We start from the raw sequence: 19648 nt of genomic DNA, 5'->3' as shown, positions 1-19648 counted from the left end.
GCCACAAGGTATCTACTGTTCACATTCTTGCCAGAACGTAAGAGTCAGAACATGGAATACAGATGTATAGATATACTGTATATGCATATATGTATCTCCATCCTGGAGTATCTTGGATCAGCAGACTATCCTAGATATTCTCATTTTTACCTCATCTCACTGCTCACTAATGCATGCCTACTACATGGAACTTTAGTGTTACAGGGTTAGTTTGAACAAAGCAGTGCTTACAAAACAAGCATTGGTATTTAGGGTAGAATGTGGATTAAAACAGCATATGGTATGTCACAATTGCAAAAAGTTTTACTCAGATCTCAATATCTGAAAAAACTACTTCTAGACACTAGATCTCTTTTCTTCTCTTTGACATCAAGGAAATCTACAGATGGATTTGTGATTCACTTTTACCTGCTGCAATTACTTTAAATATTTCTGTATAGTAATTTCACTCCTCATAGTATTTGTTACTTCTATCCTTACTTTCTTTTCATTCCCATATCAATATATTTTATAAGCATTATATATATATTTCATGATTTATAAAGCATACTTAAAATCTTTCTTAAATGAGAGTGAAAATAGTAACAGAGGGAGAGTAGAAGAATAGAGACAGGCTGGTGGAAAACAGATATTAGATAAAAAATGATAATTAGCAGCTTTTATCAAAGCAGAGATAAAATGCATAAAAGCATTAAAATCCATAAAAATTAACACAAACACAAGTAAACCTAGCTGTTCAAAATATTTCTGTATCAGAGCCAACAACTCCCATAGAACACTACCAATTATATAACATTATAGAATAAAATTTTCTATTATCTAAAAGTTTTAATATCTTTGTTTATGAAAACATAAAACTTTTAAGACTATCGAAAGATTACTTTTTTTTTTTTTTTTTGAGACAGAGTCTCGCTCTGTTACCCAGGCTGGAGTGCAATGGCATGATCTCGGCTCACTGCAACCTCCGCCTCCTGGGTTCAAGCGATTCTCCTGCCTCAGCCTTCTGAGTAGCTGGGACTACAGACATGCACTAACATGCCCAGCTAATTTTTACATTTTTAGTAGAGACAAGGTTTCACCATGTTGGCCAGGATGGTCTCGATCTCTTGACCTCGTGATCTACCCGCCTTGGCCTCCCAAAGTGCTGGGATTACAGGCGTGAGCCACTGCGCCCGGCTGAAAGATTGCTATTAAAATGCTTATAATTGAAATTGTACAGGAAATTCACTTATTAGGAATCCTTCATTCTCCTGTGATGTTAGGTAAATGAAGAATTAATAATATCTTCTTTGAAAATGTAACAAAAAATGTTCACTTACATTGATGCAAGAAACTGAAGAGGACACCAAAAATTGGAAAGATATTCCATGTTCATGGATTGGAAGAATCAATATTGTTAAAATGTCCATACTACCCAAAGCAATCTACAGATTCAATGCAGTTCCAATCAAAATACCAATAGTGTTCTTCACAGATATAGAAAAAACTATCCTAAAATTTATATGGAACCACAAAGGACTCAGAATAGCCAAACCTATCCTGAGCAAAAAGAACAAAACTAGAGGAATCACATTACCTGGTCAAATTATACTAGAGAGCTATAGTAATCAAAACAGCATGGTACCTCCATAAAAACAGACACATAAGCTGGGCACAGTGGCTCACACCTGTAATCCCAGCACTTTGGGAGGCCAACGCAGGCAGATCACTTGAGGCCAGGCATTTGAGACCAACCTGGCCAACGTGGTAAAACCGTGTCTCTACTAAAAATACAAAAAAATTATCTGTGCATGGTGGCGCACATCTGTAGTCCCACCTACTTGGGAGGCTGAGGCAGGAGAATGGCATGAACCTAGGAGGCAGAGGTTGTGGTGAGCCGAGATCGCACCACTGTACAACAGAGTGACACCCTGTCTTAAGAAAAAACAAAAACAAAAACAAAAAAATGAACTAACAAAAAACAGACACATAGACCAATGGAACAGAACAGAGAACCCAGAAAGAAACCCATACATCTACAGTGAACCCATTTTGACAAAGGTGCTAAAAACATACATCGGGGAAAGGACAATCTCGTCAATAAATGGTGCTGGGAAAAACTGGATATCCATATGCAGAAGAGTAAAACTAGACCCCTATCTCTCACCATACACAAAAATCAAATCAAAATGGATTAAATACTTAAATCTAAGACCTCAAACTATGAAACTGCTACCAGAAAACATTGGGTAAACTCTCCAGGTCACTGGTCTGGGCAAAGATTTCTTAAGTAATACCTCACAAGCGTAGGCAACCAAGCAAAAATGGACAAATGGGATCACATCAAGTTAAAAAGCTGCATTGTGAAGGAAACAAATGATGAGACAATCCACAGAATGGGAGAAAATATCTGCAAACTACCTATCTGAGAAGGGATTAATAACTAGAATATATAAGGAGCTCAAACAACTCTATAGGAAAAAATCAATAATCCAATTTAAAAATGGGCGAAATATCTGAATAGACATTTCTCAAAAGAAGACATAAAAATGGCACACAGGGATATGAAAAGGTGCACAACATCACTCATCATCAGAAAAATGCAAATCAAAACTACAGTAAGATATCATCTCACCCCAGTTAAAATGGGTCTTATCCAAAAGACAGGAAATAACAAATGCAGGCAAGGATGTGGAGGAAAGAGAACCTTCATACACCGTTGGTGGGAAAGTAAATTAGTACGACCACTATGAAGAACAGTTTGAAAGTTCCTCAAAAAACTAAAAATAAAGTTACCATCTGATCCAGCAATCCCACTGCCAGGTATATACCCAAAAGACAGGAAATCAGTATATCAAAGAGATATCTGTACTCTCACATTTACTGCAGCATTATTCACAATAACCAAGATTTGGAAGCAACCTAAGTGTCCACCAACAGACAATGGCCAGGCACGGTGGCGCACACCTGTAATCCCAGCACTTTGGGAGGCCGAGGCGGGCAGATCACCTGAGGTCAGGAGTTCGTGACAAGCGTGGCCAACACAGTGAAACCCCATCTCTACTAAAAATATAAAAATTAGCTGGGCATGGTGGTGCACACCTGTAATCCCAGCTACTCGGGAGGCAGAGGCACGAGAATTGCTTGAACCTGGGAGGGAGAGGTTGCAGTGAGCCGAGATCGTGTCACTGAATCCCAGCCTGGGTAACAGAGTGAGACTCTGTCTTAAAACAAAACAAAACAAAAAACAGACAATGGATAAAGAAAATGTGGCATATATACACAATGGAGTACTATTCAGCCATAAGAAGAATGAGATCCTGTCATTTGCAACAACAGGGAACTGGAGGTCATTATGTTAAGTGAAATAAGCCAGGCACAGAAAGACAAACTTCTCATATTCTCACTTATTTGTGGGAGCTAAAAATTAAAACAATTGAACTCATGGACATAGAGAGTAGAAGGATGGTTACCAGAGACTGGGAAGGGTAGCTGGCAGATAGGGAGGAAGTGGGGACGGTTAATGGGTACCAAAAGTTTAAAAGAATGAATAAGACCTAGTATTTGATAGCACAACAGGGTGACTATAGTCAATAATAATTTAATTGTACATTTAAAAAAAAACTAAAAGAGTATACCTGGATTGTTTGTAACACAGAGGATAAATGCTTAAGGTGGTGGATACTCTATTTACCCTGATGTGATTATTATGCATTGCATGCCTCTATCAAAATACCTCATGTACTCCATAAATATATATACCTACTACGTACCCACAAAAATAATTTAAAAATTATAAATATATATATTTTAAATGCTCATATAATAGCTTGCAGCTACCTAGCGTTACATAGTTTTACATAGTTTTTCATAAATGTCATGTTTAAGAGTGGCCAAACATCAGTTTTGTAATTCATAAACAGAACTGGATGCTTTAAACTTTTCTCATCCTTTACTGAATTAACTAACTGTTGTATACTTACCAGTATCAAAAATACTAAGATAAACTTAGTTTCCATATAATCTTTTTATATTTAAAAATATTTCTTATTATAGCAGATCCTTAATTATAGAGCCTATGACATAAAAATATCTCTAATAACTGAATCATTTTGAAATTGGGCTAGAATTCAAAATCCTTAAACTGAAAGTTGTCCTTTTCCTGTTCTATTTATTTTCTTCAGAAAAAAAAAGCAAAAGGCTTAATTACTTGCAAGTCTGCACAACCTTGAACTCTAGCTTCAGATCTTTTCACTGCTTCAAGTCAAACCTTTAGCAATTAAGTATTAATGCAATTAATGGCACTGAAACCACAATCAATCACAAGATAGTGGCTATGAAATACATTGGAAATAGAAGACAGAGCTCATTTTTAATCCTTTTTTTTTTGAGACTGAGTCTCACTCTGTTGCCTAGTCTCACTGCAACCTCTGCCTCCCAAGTTGAAGCGATTCTCCTGCCTCAAGCTCCAGAGTAGCTGGTACTACAGGCACATGCCAACACGACCACCTAATTTTTGCATTTTTAGTAGAGATGGGGTTTCACCATGTTGGCCAGGTTGGTCTCGAACTCCTGACCTCAGGTGATTCACCTGCCTCGGCCATTTAAAAATTTTAACCCATCCAAATAGGTAAGATGCTATTAATAACTTCTGACACACCTTCTTCCTTGCTTGGTGCCCTATGAGGTTGGGTGCTGGTTTGTTCTTCATCTTCTTGGTATCTCTGAGTAAGTCTTACAAAAAGAGCTCTTTGCACTGCAGGGAGGAGGCCTGGTACAGGCAGAGGGCCATGGCCTGTCCTAGTGCTGCTGCCATCAGACCCACTCCCATGGTTAGGTGAGTCTTGAACAACAGGAGGCTGCTGCTGGGCAAATTCACCATGCCACATCCCATCTACATGTATAACATGGGGAGAGACAGTCATTGAGTGAGCACAAAACTTCACCAGTCATAAGAAATGAAAGCTTTCATCACAGGCACACTGGATTATCAAATTATATCATTTAAAATATTTCTAAAAGTTATCTAAAATTCTATTGTTTCAAAAGTTTGGCAAACTGAAAACATTTTAAGGTTTCAATCTTATCAATTTTACTCAGCTTTACTTAAAACTTACGTTTCTGTCATGCTTTTAATGAAAAATAGGACTGTATTTTAAATTAGGAATAAATTATTTCAAAAAAGTAAACTTACCACCAGAGTTATTGGGTGGCTGAAAATTATGTATAGAATGCTGTGCATAGTAATTATCGTAAAACTCAGCTGGGTTTTGCAGGGACTCATAATTGGTGTTGAGCTGCATTTCACCAGGACTTTGCTGGTATGATGAACCTGGAGAACAGTGATTCTCTCTGGGTACTTTCATCACATGTCCTGGAAAGCCTGGGGAGTGGTAAGCCCCACCCATACTTGGTGGTGTCAAAGATGTGTCTGGTTGAACAAGCACTCCAGCTTGATTTTGAGGACCTACAATTTCAGGTGGACCAGGTGGTAAAGGTGGGCTCTGTGGCACTGGTAGACCAGGAGGTCCTGCACATGGGTGATGTCCAGGGGAGCCTGGGTGCATCACAGGACTACTGTGTCCCTGAGACATGTTAGGTCCAGGACCTGGACTTGACCCAGAACTATAGATATGTTGAGGGTGTGGACTGCTTCCCTGAAATTGTGGTCCTGGTGGTGAGGCACTGGTATAAAATGCTGGTGGCCTGTAGACAGAAATAATAATATTTCTTAGTTCAAAGAAAAAGAAACAAACAAGAATGTTAACACTTCTAAACAGATATTGGTTAAGTACTTTTTTTACATCAGAATAGAATACTGTGTGTTTAAGAAGCAATTTGTTCCATAGCGTCGATAGGTAGAAACACGAAATAGACCTCATGCTTTCATTTTAGCCCACTTGCTGCTTACCGTTAGCTGTTCTAAAACTTACTGTTTTGAAAAACACAGAAAAGTACAAAGATAAATAAGAATCACCCCTAATCCCACTACCCAGAGATAAAATTTTATTGGTTCTCTCCTACTAGTCCTCTTTTTCAGGCATATATAACCTTTTACAGTAAAATTAGAATCTACTATATAAACATCCAACTTTTTATAATAATTTGTAATTGGTTATTGCTGGCATATAAAAAGACATTCAGTTTTTGAATGTTGCTCTTCTTTCCTGACATCTTGCTAATTTAATTATTATTTCCAATAGTTTTGTCTGTTGATTCCTTTGGGTTGAGGGAAACTTCCCAAATAATTAGGCTGCCACTCCACTTCTAATCTTTATAACTTTTATTTCTCTTATTTCATTGACCAGGATACAATATATAATATTACCAAAATAGTGGACATACTTATCTTCCTGACATTAGTAGAAATACTTTTAATGGTTCAAATGAATTGTGATATTTGCTATAGATTTCTTGTTCCTCATTGGCTGAGACCTCCTTGCTTTCCTGAGTTGTCAGGACTAAACGAATGCTCAACAATGTGACTTAGGGCCCAGGTGCACAGACGCTTGGGGACTGGCAGCAGGGCTGAAATGGTGGTGTTAGAAAATGAAAATCTGGATCCAGAGGTCTTCCGCCAATAGCCTAAGGAATTGCTCTTCAAAATAATCAAATATGTGGAGACCTATTTCCCACAATCTGAAGGCATTATCAATGACAATGCAGCCTCATAATCAAGTGAAAATGCCAAATCCACCCACCAGGCAGGGTTCTTCAGGATTACTATGCTGAGAAGTTTCAGAAGCTGTATAAGGATTCCATATGGGAAAGCACTGATGGCAAGCAGCAGGTGGGAACCGAAAACAAAGGTGGAAGCAACAATCTGCGTGCATGCCAGATATGTGCTATCTCTAACCAAGTTTAATTACATGATTAGCTTGGAGTATGACTTAGTTTCTTAATGATAATTTTCAGAAAAAAATATTTGATGTCATTTTGAAAGTTTTTCACTTACTTCCTCCCAATTTTATGCGCTAAATCCACAGTAGGTTTTACAACTATTTCAAAAAGAGATGGAATTTTCCTAAAATCATCAGAGAAATCTGTCTGAAAATCGTCTTCAGGATCAGAAAAGGGAAAATGCTCTGGAGGGGTTGGCAGAAGCCCAACCCCTGGAGGTGGTTTGGGAAGAGGAGTTATGCCACGCTTTCTAAGTTCCTCTAATTCTCTTTCATCTTCATTTATGAGTTCTTCATCAGTATTCAACACCTAAAAATAATTGGCAAAGATTACTATTTCAAAGCGAGTCTTTTCCTCACATTTAAAACTAGAAGACTTAAGTTTGGTTAGTAGAAAAATAATATTAAAGTTGAAATGGGCTGGTCGCAGTGGCTCACGCCTTTAATCTCAACACCTTGGAAGGCCAAGGCAGCTGGATCGCTTGAGCCCAAGAGACCAGCCCAAGCAACACGGAGAAACCCCTGTCTCTACAAAAAATGCAAAAATTAGCTGGGCATGGTAGTGCCCACCTCAGAAGGTTGAGGTGGGAGGATGACCCCAGGGGCAGGGGTGGGGGGCGGTGCAGGGCAGGGGGTTGGCAAGGAGCAGGGTGTGGAGGTTGCAGTAAGCTGAGCTAAGATCACGCCACTACACCCAGCCTGGACAACACAGCGAGACCTTGCCAAAAGAAAAGAAAAGAAAAGAGACAGAGAGAGAGAGAGAGAAATAAGAAAGAAAAAGCAAGCAAGCAAGAGGGAGGGAGGGAGGAAGGAAGGAGGGAAGGAGGGAAGGAGGGAAGGAGGGAAGACGGGAAGGAGGGAAGGGGGAGAGAAAGAAAAAAAAAAGTTGAAATGGTTTGGAGATAGCTAACTCCTCATTTTTTATAAACAGAATGAGGTTCAAAAAGGTAAAGAATATTGCTCAAATAGAATAAAATATAAAATAGTAAACTTTCAATTTCTCAGCAGTTTCATAAAATATCACTTATAAAATATGATTCAAGTCAAATGTATTTGTGGAGAGACATAATCAAGGTACAAAAATATTACTCACTTTGTCCAAAAGTTTCTTTGTTTCTTTAGTTAGATCATCATGGGAAAATTTACAGTTGTCTCCCTGGTAACATTTTGCTCCACTATGATAGAACTTGCATGGAAATTCATGTAAATAAAAATATTAAGGAAAAGACCAAGTAAAATCAAGGTCTAATTTTTTTTTAAACCAAAACCTACAACTGTTAGACAAGATAGTTAAGTTCTAGAGATCTGCTATGTAACATTGTACCTATAGTCAACAATACTGTATTGTATACTTAAAATTTTGTTAAGGGAGTAGAACTCATGCTAAGTGTTCTTAACACACACACACACACAAAACCACAACTGTGCTGAATCAATAAGGCTGTATTATTATATATTATACTGAATTTACTATAATCACATCAGCTTATTTTTAATTCTATTAAGGTTAGATATTTTAATTATACAAAAACATTCAAACAGCTTTTTTCTCTATTAAAACTAGAAAGCCACTTTTTAAAGGAAAAAAAACATTTATCACTATTATAGCAAACACTATTATATTTTAATTACATAAGCTCTGTTACTTTTCACAATAAAATAAAATATTATATAAATTTTGTAGCAAGAGCTTATATTTATAAAGAAAATTAAGAGGCTTAATATGTCATGTTAAAGGCAAATATCCCAATAATCAACTACAGACTAATCTTAGGATTTTGGAGACAAACGTATAAAGAAAATATTAAATCTAGAAGTATAGTGAAAAATATACCACTCTCAGGTGATGTATGTTCAGGGAATAGCTGGATGGTTTTAGGAAATTTATTATTGTAAACACTGATAAGGTCAAGAAAAAAATTATATGATCATTTTGGCAGATGCAAAAGGCAACTGATAAAATTCAAAATCTTTTTTAGATTTCTTTTTTAGGTTTAAAAAAATCCTCTTAGTAAAATAAAAATATACTTTCTTAATTGATTTTTTAAAACTTACTTTAAAACTGCAGCCACAAGCTAAAACAAAAAGGCACTATCATTAAAACATGTTTTATGTCTGCCACAGTCACTATTATTTAACATTCTTCTGGAAATGTGGCCAATACAATTAAAATTAAATAAGAGGTATAAATATTGTAAATGAAGTAAAATTATTATTATTTACAAACAGCATGACTATATAACAAAAACCCCATAAGAATAGATGGAAAGCTTTCAGAAACAGAATAAAGTATTTGCTTTCTAAAGAAATATGTCAAATCTGAAAAAATTTATTTTTCTTGAATAGGACAAATTCATTACATTTTATTTGTTTTTATTATTTGCCAAATCACTTCTGACCTGAGACTATTACAACATTTTTTTTAAAAAGGAAGGAGTATTTGCCTTACCAAATATCAAACATACTCTTACAGAGGTGAATAATCAAATACCACAATAGATAAGAGTAGTATAGAAGCAGAACTGTGTACAAATGAGAATTTAGGGTCTGGTGAAGATGCCATTTTAAATCAGTAAAGATAAGACAATGAGTTAATCATCTGAATAAAGGTCCTTATTAACACACTGTGTATTAAAATACAGTCCATATTAATGTAAATGTTAAATTTAAAAATACAATATTCACAATCATTATAGATTTCATTTTTCTAAAAAATTATGTGTATAGGCTGGGCCCAGTGGCTCACGCCTATAATCCCAGCACTTTGGGAGGCCGAGGCAGGCGGATCACCTGAGGTCGGGAGATTGAGACCAGTCTGATCAACATGGAGAAACAACATCTCTACTAAAAATACAAAAATTAGCCAGGCGTGGTGGTGCATGCCTGTAATCCCAGCTACTCGGGAGGCTGAGGCAGGAGAATTGCTTGAACCCGGGAGGCAGAGGTTGCAGTGAGCGGAGAACGCGCCATTGGACTCCAGCCTGGGCAACAAAAGTGAAACTCCGTCTCACAAAAATAAAAAATTATGTGTATAAACATATACACATCCATTCATACATACATACCAGCATAGAAAAAAAGTCTGAAAGGCTTTATGCCATACTCCAAGTATGGTTCTCTGTAGGATGACATTACTTAGGATTTTTTTTCTAAGTTTGTTTGAAGGTCATTAACCATACCAAAGTAGAGAGAATAATAAAATGAAGTCCCTCTCATGTTGACCTCATAGGTTCAACAACTTTCATCATTTGTTGTAAATATTTCCATACCTATTCTCAACATAAGGACTATTGTTTCTTTCCTTTTTTTTTTTGAGACAGAGTCTTGCTCTGTTGCTCAGGCTGGAGTGCAGTGGCACCATCTTGGCTCACTGCAACCTCCACCTCCCAGGTTCAAGCGATTCTCCTGCCTCAGCTTCCCAAGTAGCTGGGATTACAGGTGCACGCTACCATGCCCAACTAATTTGTGTATTTTTAGTAGAGATGGGGTTTCACTATGTTGGCCAGGTTGGTCTTGAACTCCTCACCTCAGGTGATCCACCCGCCTTGGCCTCCGAAAGTGGTGGGATTACAGGCATGAGCCACCGTGCCTGGCCCCTTTCCTCTTTAAATTAGTTATGGGAGTGGGGGAGGTGTCTCACTATGTTACCCAGGCTGGTCTCCAACTCCTGGCCTCAATCAATCCTCCCACCCCAGCATCCCAGTGTTAGGATTACAGGTGTGACCTACCATGCCTGGCCAGGAATACTTTTTCTTACCAATCACGACTTCATTACCACCCTGGCAAAATTAATGTGTTAATTTCAACTAGTAACCAGTCAATATACAAATTTTCCAGACTTTTAAAAAAGTATGTTTTTATAATTCCTTTCTTCAGATCAGGACATAAAGATGATCCACAAATTGTATCTAGTTAATACATCTCCCAAGTTACTTTTACTGATTTCTAGAAGTTCCCCTTTCCCTTTTATTTTTGTATCATTTGTTAATTTTAATATTGGTCATAGATGGTATTCAAATACTCTCTACTGTATCATATCAAAAGGCATTTAATATCTGGTTGTTTCTTTTTAGTAATGTTAAGACTGATCAGTCCTTTCAGGTGTTGTCAGCTCCATCCATCAGTTGTAAAGTTCCTAATTAACTTTTCACCTCATGATTTTAGCAGCCATCAGTAATCACTGCCCAGGTCTATTGTGGAGAAACTGCAAAACGTGGGATTGCTGGGTCAAAGGGTAAATGCATATTGCATTTACCAAGCTCTCCTCCATAGGAATGCACCATTTTGACATTGCCAGCATCAAGGTCTTCTCACATCCTTGCTAACAAACTTCACTGTCACGATTTTTTTATTTTTGCAAACGTGACACAGCTGCAAATGTTATCTCAGTGTAGCTTAAATTACATTCCCCTTATTAGGAACAAGATTGAACATCTTTCTGTATGTTTTGGGACCATTTGCATTTCTCTTTCTGGGAATTATCTGTATCTCTTCCCTCATTTTTCTTCTCAATGTTTAGAAACTCATATATTAAGGATATGACCTCTTCGTAAGTGATATAAATTACACATAATCTTTCTCACTTCATTATTTATCTTATTATTTAGCTCATGTTATATGTATTTGTTTTGCAAATGCAAGCTTTTTCATGGAGTCAAAATTTCAATCTGTTCCCTTTTTGCTTCTGGATTTTGAGACAGGAAATTTTTCTGTTCCAATTCATCATGTATTCCTCTGGTAATTACATCGTTCCATTTTTTGACATTTTGATCTATGATAACAGGCATTTTTCATTTTATTCACTTTCTTTTTTTTCACATTTTTTAAACACGACAACAGAATTTAAAAATTTATCTGGAAAAATAAACATCAGAATCTACCAAATATTACCGTGGCTGTTGTGGCAGAAATAATCACAGCAAAGCAAGACAGACATGAGGGTGAACAAATCCATGGAGCCAAACACGAAGTCCAGAAGAAAAATCCATATATGTAAACATTTTGTCTGTGATAGAGTTTCAATTCTGTGGGGGAAAGCTTCATTAGTCATAAGTCGTAGTGAGCAACCTGACAGATATTTGGGGGAAAATTAACATGGAAAAATTGCAGAATACATTTTTTTAAAGGACCAGAACACTATATATAGTGAAATTCCAATTTGGGTAGGAGCAGGAATACAATTTAAATGTATATATTTCCCAAGGGAGAGTGGGGAAGAATATACAGCATCTATCATTGAGTGGTAAGATTTGATAAGACTTATAATCTTCACAATGATAATTTTTTACTCCCGAACTTAAGTAAAATAATTATGGAATAAAATAAGTATTTTGCCAACTACTCCTTCAGGAAGCACAATCTCTTGAAATACTTTAAGCTGATTATATTAAAGTACCTTCCCTTCACAGAATTTTTTCCAAAGGGCAGTTATCTCATTTCCCTAAAGAATAAAGGTCAGTTTGCTCTTTTGAAGTACAAAGTTTGACTAGACTGGGTTTATGTAATGTGTTGTTTTAAATTTAAAACCAAACTAGGCTTTATAGGGTGTATTTATTATTTTTTAAAACCTCAATGATGCTTTAAAACCCCAGCATTTTATTTAACATACATTTTAAATAAAGGATATTATGCATATAAATGCAGTTCTCTCCTTTGGTACAATATCCTTGTAAATAAAATTTGCAGATCTCTTTTCTTTTCTCCAACTCTGCATCATGATCAAATTTACACTGATCTCCCTATTCACAAAAAAAAAAAAAAGAAAAAAGAAAAAAAGGTAAGAAACAATGAGAAACAAAGAAACAACAGCTGAATTTTCTACATGGTGTCTCATGGTAAAATTATGGTCATTATCTTCAGTCTTTAATAATGAACAAATAATAACTCAAATGACCCCTTAGAATTCCTGCCCAAGACAGTGGATGTAGCTACATGCATTAAGGCAGCACAGTGAGCAAGACCTCACAGGATACTGCCTGAATTGGCAACCAGCACTCACCATTTCTTGCTGAGCTACCATGGGAACTTACTTAACCTCTTGGTGCCATGAATAAAATGGGGATAATAACATTAACTACTTTGTAGGGTCACTGTAGGATTAAATCATTTAATATTAGTTGTACTTTGAACAGTACTTGCCACGTAGCATTATGTGTCTTTTAAACAAATCCGATTTCAACAAATTATGTTATTGTCCCAGAACATAATTAAATGAGCTCTAATGTACGGTATTTCCATGCAAGATACATTTTAAAGACCCAGTTTTATTACAACTATATGAGAAGAGAAAAAAATTAACCATCCCCCAAAAGACTTTAATTTTAAAGATTATTTTGGAAGTTAAAATGACTTATGATACCTCTATAAATTTACCTTAATACACCTCCCTTCCAGGAAGTATTTACAGATTTGTTTTCCTTTGTGTTCCACTGTGTGCTGATTAATAAATTCCTGAGTCATAACCTTCCATTTTTTCCCTGGTTTATTATACTGCAAGAAAAAAATTCCATTTGAATGCAGCATATGAAATATTAATAGGTATCAAAATGTATGATTAAGTTGATCTGGAAAAAAGTACAAATTGACTACAAAAAGTGATCAAGATTGAACATTCTGATGCTATTCATTTATTTGGAGAGAGATATGTGTCTAGTAATCTACTTATGCTACTAGTGATCGCAAAAAAAAGCCTATTTCTTTCTATTTTAATGAAGATGAATAACTTTTTAAATAAAATTATAAAAAGTTTAAAAATTCACAATTCTCAATTTGGGCAAAGACACAATAAAATATGCACTCATATTATTGATAGGTATGTTATAAAAGACTTTAAAATATCCATATTGTTTGACATACAACTTGTACTTTTTGGGATTATTTTGAAAGAATTATCAGGGAGACACAAAGATCTAGTCATATAATAAAATACTGACATAGTAAAACAAACAGCAAAACGAGAAACACTCTACACATTTAAAACTAGAAGACTGGTCAAATATATTATGATACACTTAGGTGGTAGAATATTATGCAGTCATTAAAAAATCAACAACTTTGGATCATAAAAACTGTTTACAGATCAGGCATGGTGGCTCATGCCTGTAATCCCAGCACTTTGGGATCATTTGAGGCCAGGAGTTTGAGACCAGCCTGGCCAACATAGTGAAATCCTGTCCATACTAAAAATACAAAAAATTAGCCAGGTGTGGTGGCACACACCTCTGTAATCTCAGCTACTTGGGAGGCTGAGGCACGAGAATCGCTTGAACCTGGGAGGTGGAGCCTGCAGTGAGAGCCAAGATCACGCCACTGCATTCCTGCCTGGGCAACAGAGTGAGAGTGTCTCAAACAAACAAACAAAAAAAAAACAAAAAAAAAGTTTACAATATTTTATGAAGTAAAAAATTGATCCCAATTCTACAATAATAAATAAAGGCAAAGGAAAAAAGACAAAAAGAATATACCCCCATATTTTACAGTGTATGTCTCTGGATGGCAGGATTAGAGATTTTATGTGTGTGGTTATTTTGTACTTTCTTTAGGGGAAAAAAAGGGCAAACAAACAGGCGGCGTGTATTACTTTTAACTTTTAAATATAAAAAGTTAAGAAAAAAACTTAAGAAAATTAAAGGAAAAGAAATCTTATAGCCCTACTTGTTTTCCTTACTTCTCCTGAGTCCCCTATTCAACTTCTGCTTTAAGTATAAGATTAAGTAACAAGGCAGAGTATGATGCTTAGCCATGCTAAATGTAATGAGTTACATTCATCAACTCTAAAAAACAACATTATTTTTCATGCACCTGGCATGCACTGTGCCCTGTATATCATAGGAGTTCAATGACTATTTACTCTTCTGATTTGATTTCTGTTTTCCCTTTTCTCTTAATTTGCTAAAAGATAGAGCATAAAGTTCAATCTACTGAAAACAAGAGATTGCCTCACAGCAAACATTGAGGCAATAGATGTCTAAATTGAAATCTGATCCCCAGCATTCACAGCTCAAATCACATTTTACTGTAAGAATTCTAAAAAAGGTACAAGAATACAAAGTAAACAGATAATCCTAGAGATTCGTTTTAAAAATATAAACATACCTAATTTACCCCAGGAAAACACAATGAAATTGCTTATAATATACTATGACAGAATCATTTAAAGTGTCTCAAATCTATATAAATTTGATTCACAAACATTTTTATGTTTAGAGATTCGTTTAGAATAAGCAGATATAAATGACCAGCTCACATAGGCATTCTATACAAAGAATCATGGCTGTTATAAAATAAAATAAACAGCCAAAGAAAGTAAATTATGCAAAAATCAATGAGCAACCTGAGGAATATAACTCTGAAATTAAAAAGTAAAAAAATTAGGTAATCACACACACACACACACCCTGAAAAATGCAACAAGTTGTACTTAGCGTTTCATTAATAACTTACTCTTTCTGTATACATTACTTCCAAATAATGTTTCATTGTTTTAATAGAGGATTGTGGTGAGGAAGTGTTTTGTTTTGTTTTTTAGTTTAGTTCCACTTAAATGAGTAGAAAGTATGTCAGTGTCCACAGCTATGGGAAACCTGACTATAATCAAGGTACTATAGAAAATCTAAAGCAACTTTAACAAATAAATTTTTAGGGCAAAATTAAGTGCCCAGAAGATATGGTGAGTTAGCAGACTGACAGAACTCAGGAATTGTGCCTTGCAACTCCTCCTATATTCTTTGCATTACAAGACAGTACTGCGAATAAAAAAAAATACAAGAATGAAGGAGAGAAAGAGGGAGAGATGGAGGGAGAAAAAAAACCAAGCTACCTACTGTACTTGGTCATTTTAAAACTTATTTACTTTAGAAGATATATTGATACAAGAGACAAGAGCATAAAATATTAATATATATCAGGTAGAGGAAATGTAAGGATCTACCAGGAAAATAATATTTATTACAAAAAAATGTAATAGGTACAGTAAATACTAAAACAATTTAAGAGTATTATGGCCAATAAAATGAAGAAGCCTTTAAAATTCAGTGAAAGTTTGCTTCTTTGTGACTACTCTTGATTTTTCAAAAAAATTATGATGAATCTGAAGGTACCCCGAATTGATTTGGCTTTGGAGACTCTCATAGTCTCTGAAAGGCCTAGGACAGAGACGGATCTATCTTGGCCACTCTGCTGTGGCCTCCATGTTCATGCTATTCTGGATGGGCCACCTGCAGACCATTCCTGAACATGAACTGCTTCCGTGGGCTCTGGCACACTCCCAGTTGTTTCTGGAATCATAAGAAATGTCTCTCGTGATAGCCAATAAATTGACATGACTGATAATGTATTTTTATCTTTATTTTTCTGTTATATGATTATCTTTTAGGTATAGCCCAGATCTACAGACATCTAAAATGCTGTGCTTGATGGGGCCCTTAGAGTTAACTTAATACTATACCCTCATTTTGCAGATTAAGCAAATTGAGGCAAAGAGACAGGTATAACTTGCTCAAAGTCACACTTTCCTGGAAGCTAATTTTGTTTAAAGGTATAGGGTGTAAGAACTGGGTATAGGTGCAGGCTTACTTAGAAAGCATTTGTATTAGTTTGGGTTAGGGAAATCAGCATATTCTAAAGGTCTACTGGTGTCTAAGAAGATGACAGGCAGGTTTTTAGTCACCCCAAAATTCTAAAATAATAACCATAGTAATTCCAAAGCTGCTGTTCCATGGAACAGTGAGTGGCTCAGTGAATGTTAGTAGGTGTGTAGGGAAAAAAATAGTTTGTAGTTGAGTAAATGATGGGTTGAACAAAATAAGCTTCTTTTTGCCTAAGCTGCTCACAAGCTTTACTACATTAATGTCAACTGAGAATCTCCAAAAGCAGATGGCATGTGCTGGGTTTCGCAAATTTATTTGGGTCTGACCTTCTTTTTTTAGGTCACACCTGTTAACATCTCCTGAAACAGTATACTAAGGAGTGCATATTAAGAAATCTCTGCCCACTATCTTTAAACTGAGAGATCAGAAAACCAAGCATTTTCAAATTATAGTATATAGCTATCCCTCTCAGCTCTCACACAAAGTTGCAGCTTTTTTTTTTTTTTTATTTTGAGATGGAGTCTCGCTCTGTCACCCAGGCTGGAGTGTAGTGGAGCCATCTTGGCTCACTGCAACCTCCGCCTCCTGGGTTCAAGCGACTCTTCTGCCTCAGCCTCCCGAGTAGCTGGGACTACAGATGTGCACCACCACATCCGACAAATTCTTGTATTTTTGTAGAGATGGGGTTTCTCCATGTTGGCCAGGCTGGTCTTGAACTCCTGACCTCAGGATCTGTCCGACTTGGCCTCCCAAAGTGCTGGGATTACGGGCGTGAGCCACTGTGCCCAGCCAAAGCTCCAGCTTTTAATGACCCACTATTGCCTCTATAATTCAATCAAATCTTACTAGAACAGTAGTAGAACACAGGAATTGGACCACAGTAATCCAGGGAGTCACTACAAGGTTAAAAGTTCATGTTCAGAGTTCAACTCAATTTGACATATATTTATTGAATATCTACAACATGTAACATACATAAGTTCACCTTTCCAACCATTTATATCCCCCTTTCTTCTCTTTCAATCTTTTCAACTCTAAAAAGGAAGTTAATTTACCACTGCCTCCCTTCTTGTCCCCCCTACATATTGAGCTATTAGCACTTCATTGCCAGTTACATCTGGGGAAGATGATTCCTAGGAAAGAAAAGCACAAAAGAAGACTAATAGAGGATATATTTTTGCTTTTAAACTTAGCAATTTTATTTTGAGGTTCTTTCAAACATAACAATTTTATTTCAAAGTCAGCAAAATCTGTAAATTAGTTTCACAACTAATTAACAACTATTTTTTGGAGGTTATTGATACTCATTTTATCTGAGCTGGTAATTTTTCATTTACTAGAGAAGTATCATTAAAATCACAATGCTTTCTTTGCCATCAAATAAATTAAAAGATGAAAAAGCTCCTCCCCTCCTTATACATAAATTCTTAGTACCTCTTGAAAGTCATCCGATACTGAAAACACATTAGGCCCTTTATTGGTTCTTCCCCCACGTTCTTTTCGTTTGATTTTCTTCGGCAAGCCACGTCCACGACCAACATTAAAACTTTTAACTCTCTGTTCAATACCTAGAAAAGTTAAAATGTACTTAAATTTAAAAGAAAAACAGCATACCTTTCAATTTATTAGTTTATAAGGAACAGCACATTTTAATAGTCTATAATATACAGTGCATTCTTTTTTTTCCTTCTAGATTCAATGAAAAAAATTAAATCTTTGTATCTTATCTCCTTGGTACTGCTTCTTAAGGGATGTTAACAACATAGGAAGGCAAGGAACAAGGATACACATGGCTAGAGAAGCGAAATCAAGTTTTATTCTTTTTAATTTTCCTTAGCATAAGATCATTAACAAGCCTTTCTGTTTTTAAGAGAATCAAATATTATATTCCTATTTAAGGAAGACATTGTAGGTATCAGTGGTTAATTAGCAGCAAATCAAATTTCCACTGGTAATTTTGAGTAGATATATACACATATATCTCCAGGAAAAATTATACTTCTTTTGTTTTTGAAAAACTTGGTATTTAAAAGTATGTAAAAAGATACCCAAATTACAAAAATTAGTTTTTCTTTTTAGAGGCAGGGTCTCACTCTGTCACCCAGACTGGAATACAGTGGTAAGAACATAGCTTGCTGTAACCTTGAAGTCCTGGGCTCAAGCAATCCTCCCTCCTCAGCTTCCTGAGTAGCTGGGACTTAAGGTGTAAGCCTTTGGCCTGGCCAATACTCAGTTCTTTAAGAGCACAAACAAGTAGGAGCTTGAAAAGAAAAGCCCCAGGTGGGAAGGGATGAACAAGACTTTTTTGCATTACCCTTATTGTCCAAGTGGGATGATCCCTGATACCACAACATCTAGACTACAGGAACAAACTTGCTCAGTACAACAGCATATGTGTAGAAAAATTATTTTCCCTTTATTTCAGCTAAAGCCTACATTCATATTTTTCAAAGAAATCCTGCTAGGAAATCGAGAAAAAATAAAGTCATAGAAATAACCAAATTTACTCATAACTGATTCCTGTATGCAAAGATAATTAAAGGGTAGTTATACAGAGTGTGGCTCCTCACTACTTCATTTCAGTCTCATATTGCTCCACTTTTCCTGAAGCAGATACATTGACTAGCCAATACTTAAGGCTGATTTGAGGCTTACATGACCCATAGTTTCTTCACTTATTGTCAAGAGCTGGCAACTTGTCCTGGTCTCTCCAGGGACCATGTAATTCAATATTGCAGATAAACAGGTGATCAGTGCAGAAATGTCTTTAGATTATGTTTTTATCTCCAATTTTAAAAGATGTTCATAGTCCATGCACACTTGCTTAGCAAAAATGACTGCTGTATTTTAAAGCCTAATAAAAGTATAGCTTCCCAGCTGGTCTAAATTTAAAGCAATACATACAGCAACAGAGATAACTGTATACTGACATGACACAGAAGCAAGGGGAAAAATATAAGAAAGTTGTATTGCATTTTTATGTATTTTTAAATCATTAGAATATCTTTCCAACTGAAATATTCATGTATCATACAGATTGAAATATTTGTAGATTCTGTTCTCAAGGTCTACAAAATAAAAGAAAATGAATTTAGGTTCTACAAGAATAAGCTAATCTTGAACAGGGATAAGTTTCTAAGTTTTTACTCCATAGCTGCCTGTTTTAATAAGGTTCTCACATTC

The 19648-nt window shown here is 35.9% G+C and overlaps 1 protein-coding gene across 2 annotated transcripts in view; it reads right to left on the bottom strand.

The window, feature by feature from the left end:
- Window positions 1-19648, bottom strand: part of ZC3H6 (zinc finger CCCH-type containing 6) — a 64463-nt gene that overhangs the window by 10223 nt on the left and 34592 nt on the right. For both annotated transcript variants that reach the window (NM_198581.3, XM_006712519.4), the window contains exons 5-11: window positions 17900-18033; window positions 13251-13367; window positions 12505-12616; window positions 7972-8081; window positions 6935-7188; window positions 5174-5685; window positions 4640-4873 (exon numbers count right to left, since the gene is read on the bottom strand). In NM_198581.3, the coding sequence (NP_940983.2) occupies window positions 4640-4873; window positions 5174-5685; window positions 6935-7188; window positions 7972-8081; window positions 12505-12616; window positions 13251-13367; window positions 17900-18033 (1473 nt within the window). The remainder of the gene's footprint in view (window positions 1-4639; window positions 4874-5173; window positions 5686-6934; window positions 7189-7971; window positions 8082-12504; window positions 12617-13250; window positions 13368-17899; window positions 18034-19648) is intronic.

This window comes from Homo sapiens, chromosome 2, assembly GCF_000001405.40.
Source record: "Homo sapiens chromosome 2, GRCh38.p14 Primary Assembly".
Taxonomy (NCBI): domain Eukaryota; kingdom Metazoa; phylum Chordata; class Mammalia; order Primates; family Hominidae; genus Homo; species Homo sapiens.
This window is presented reverse-complemented; position numbering and strand designations above follow the sequence as displayed.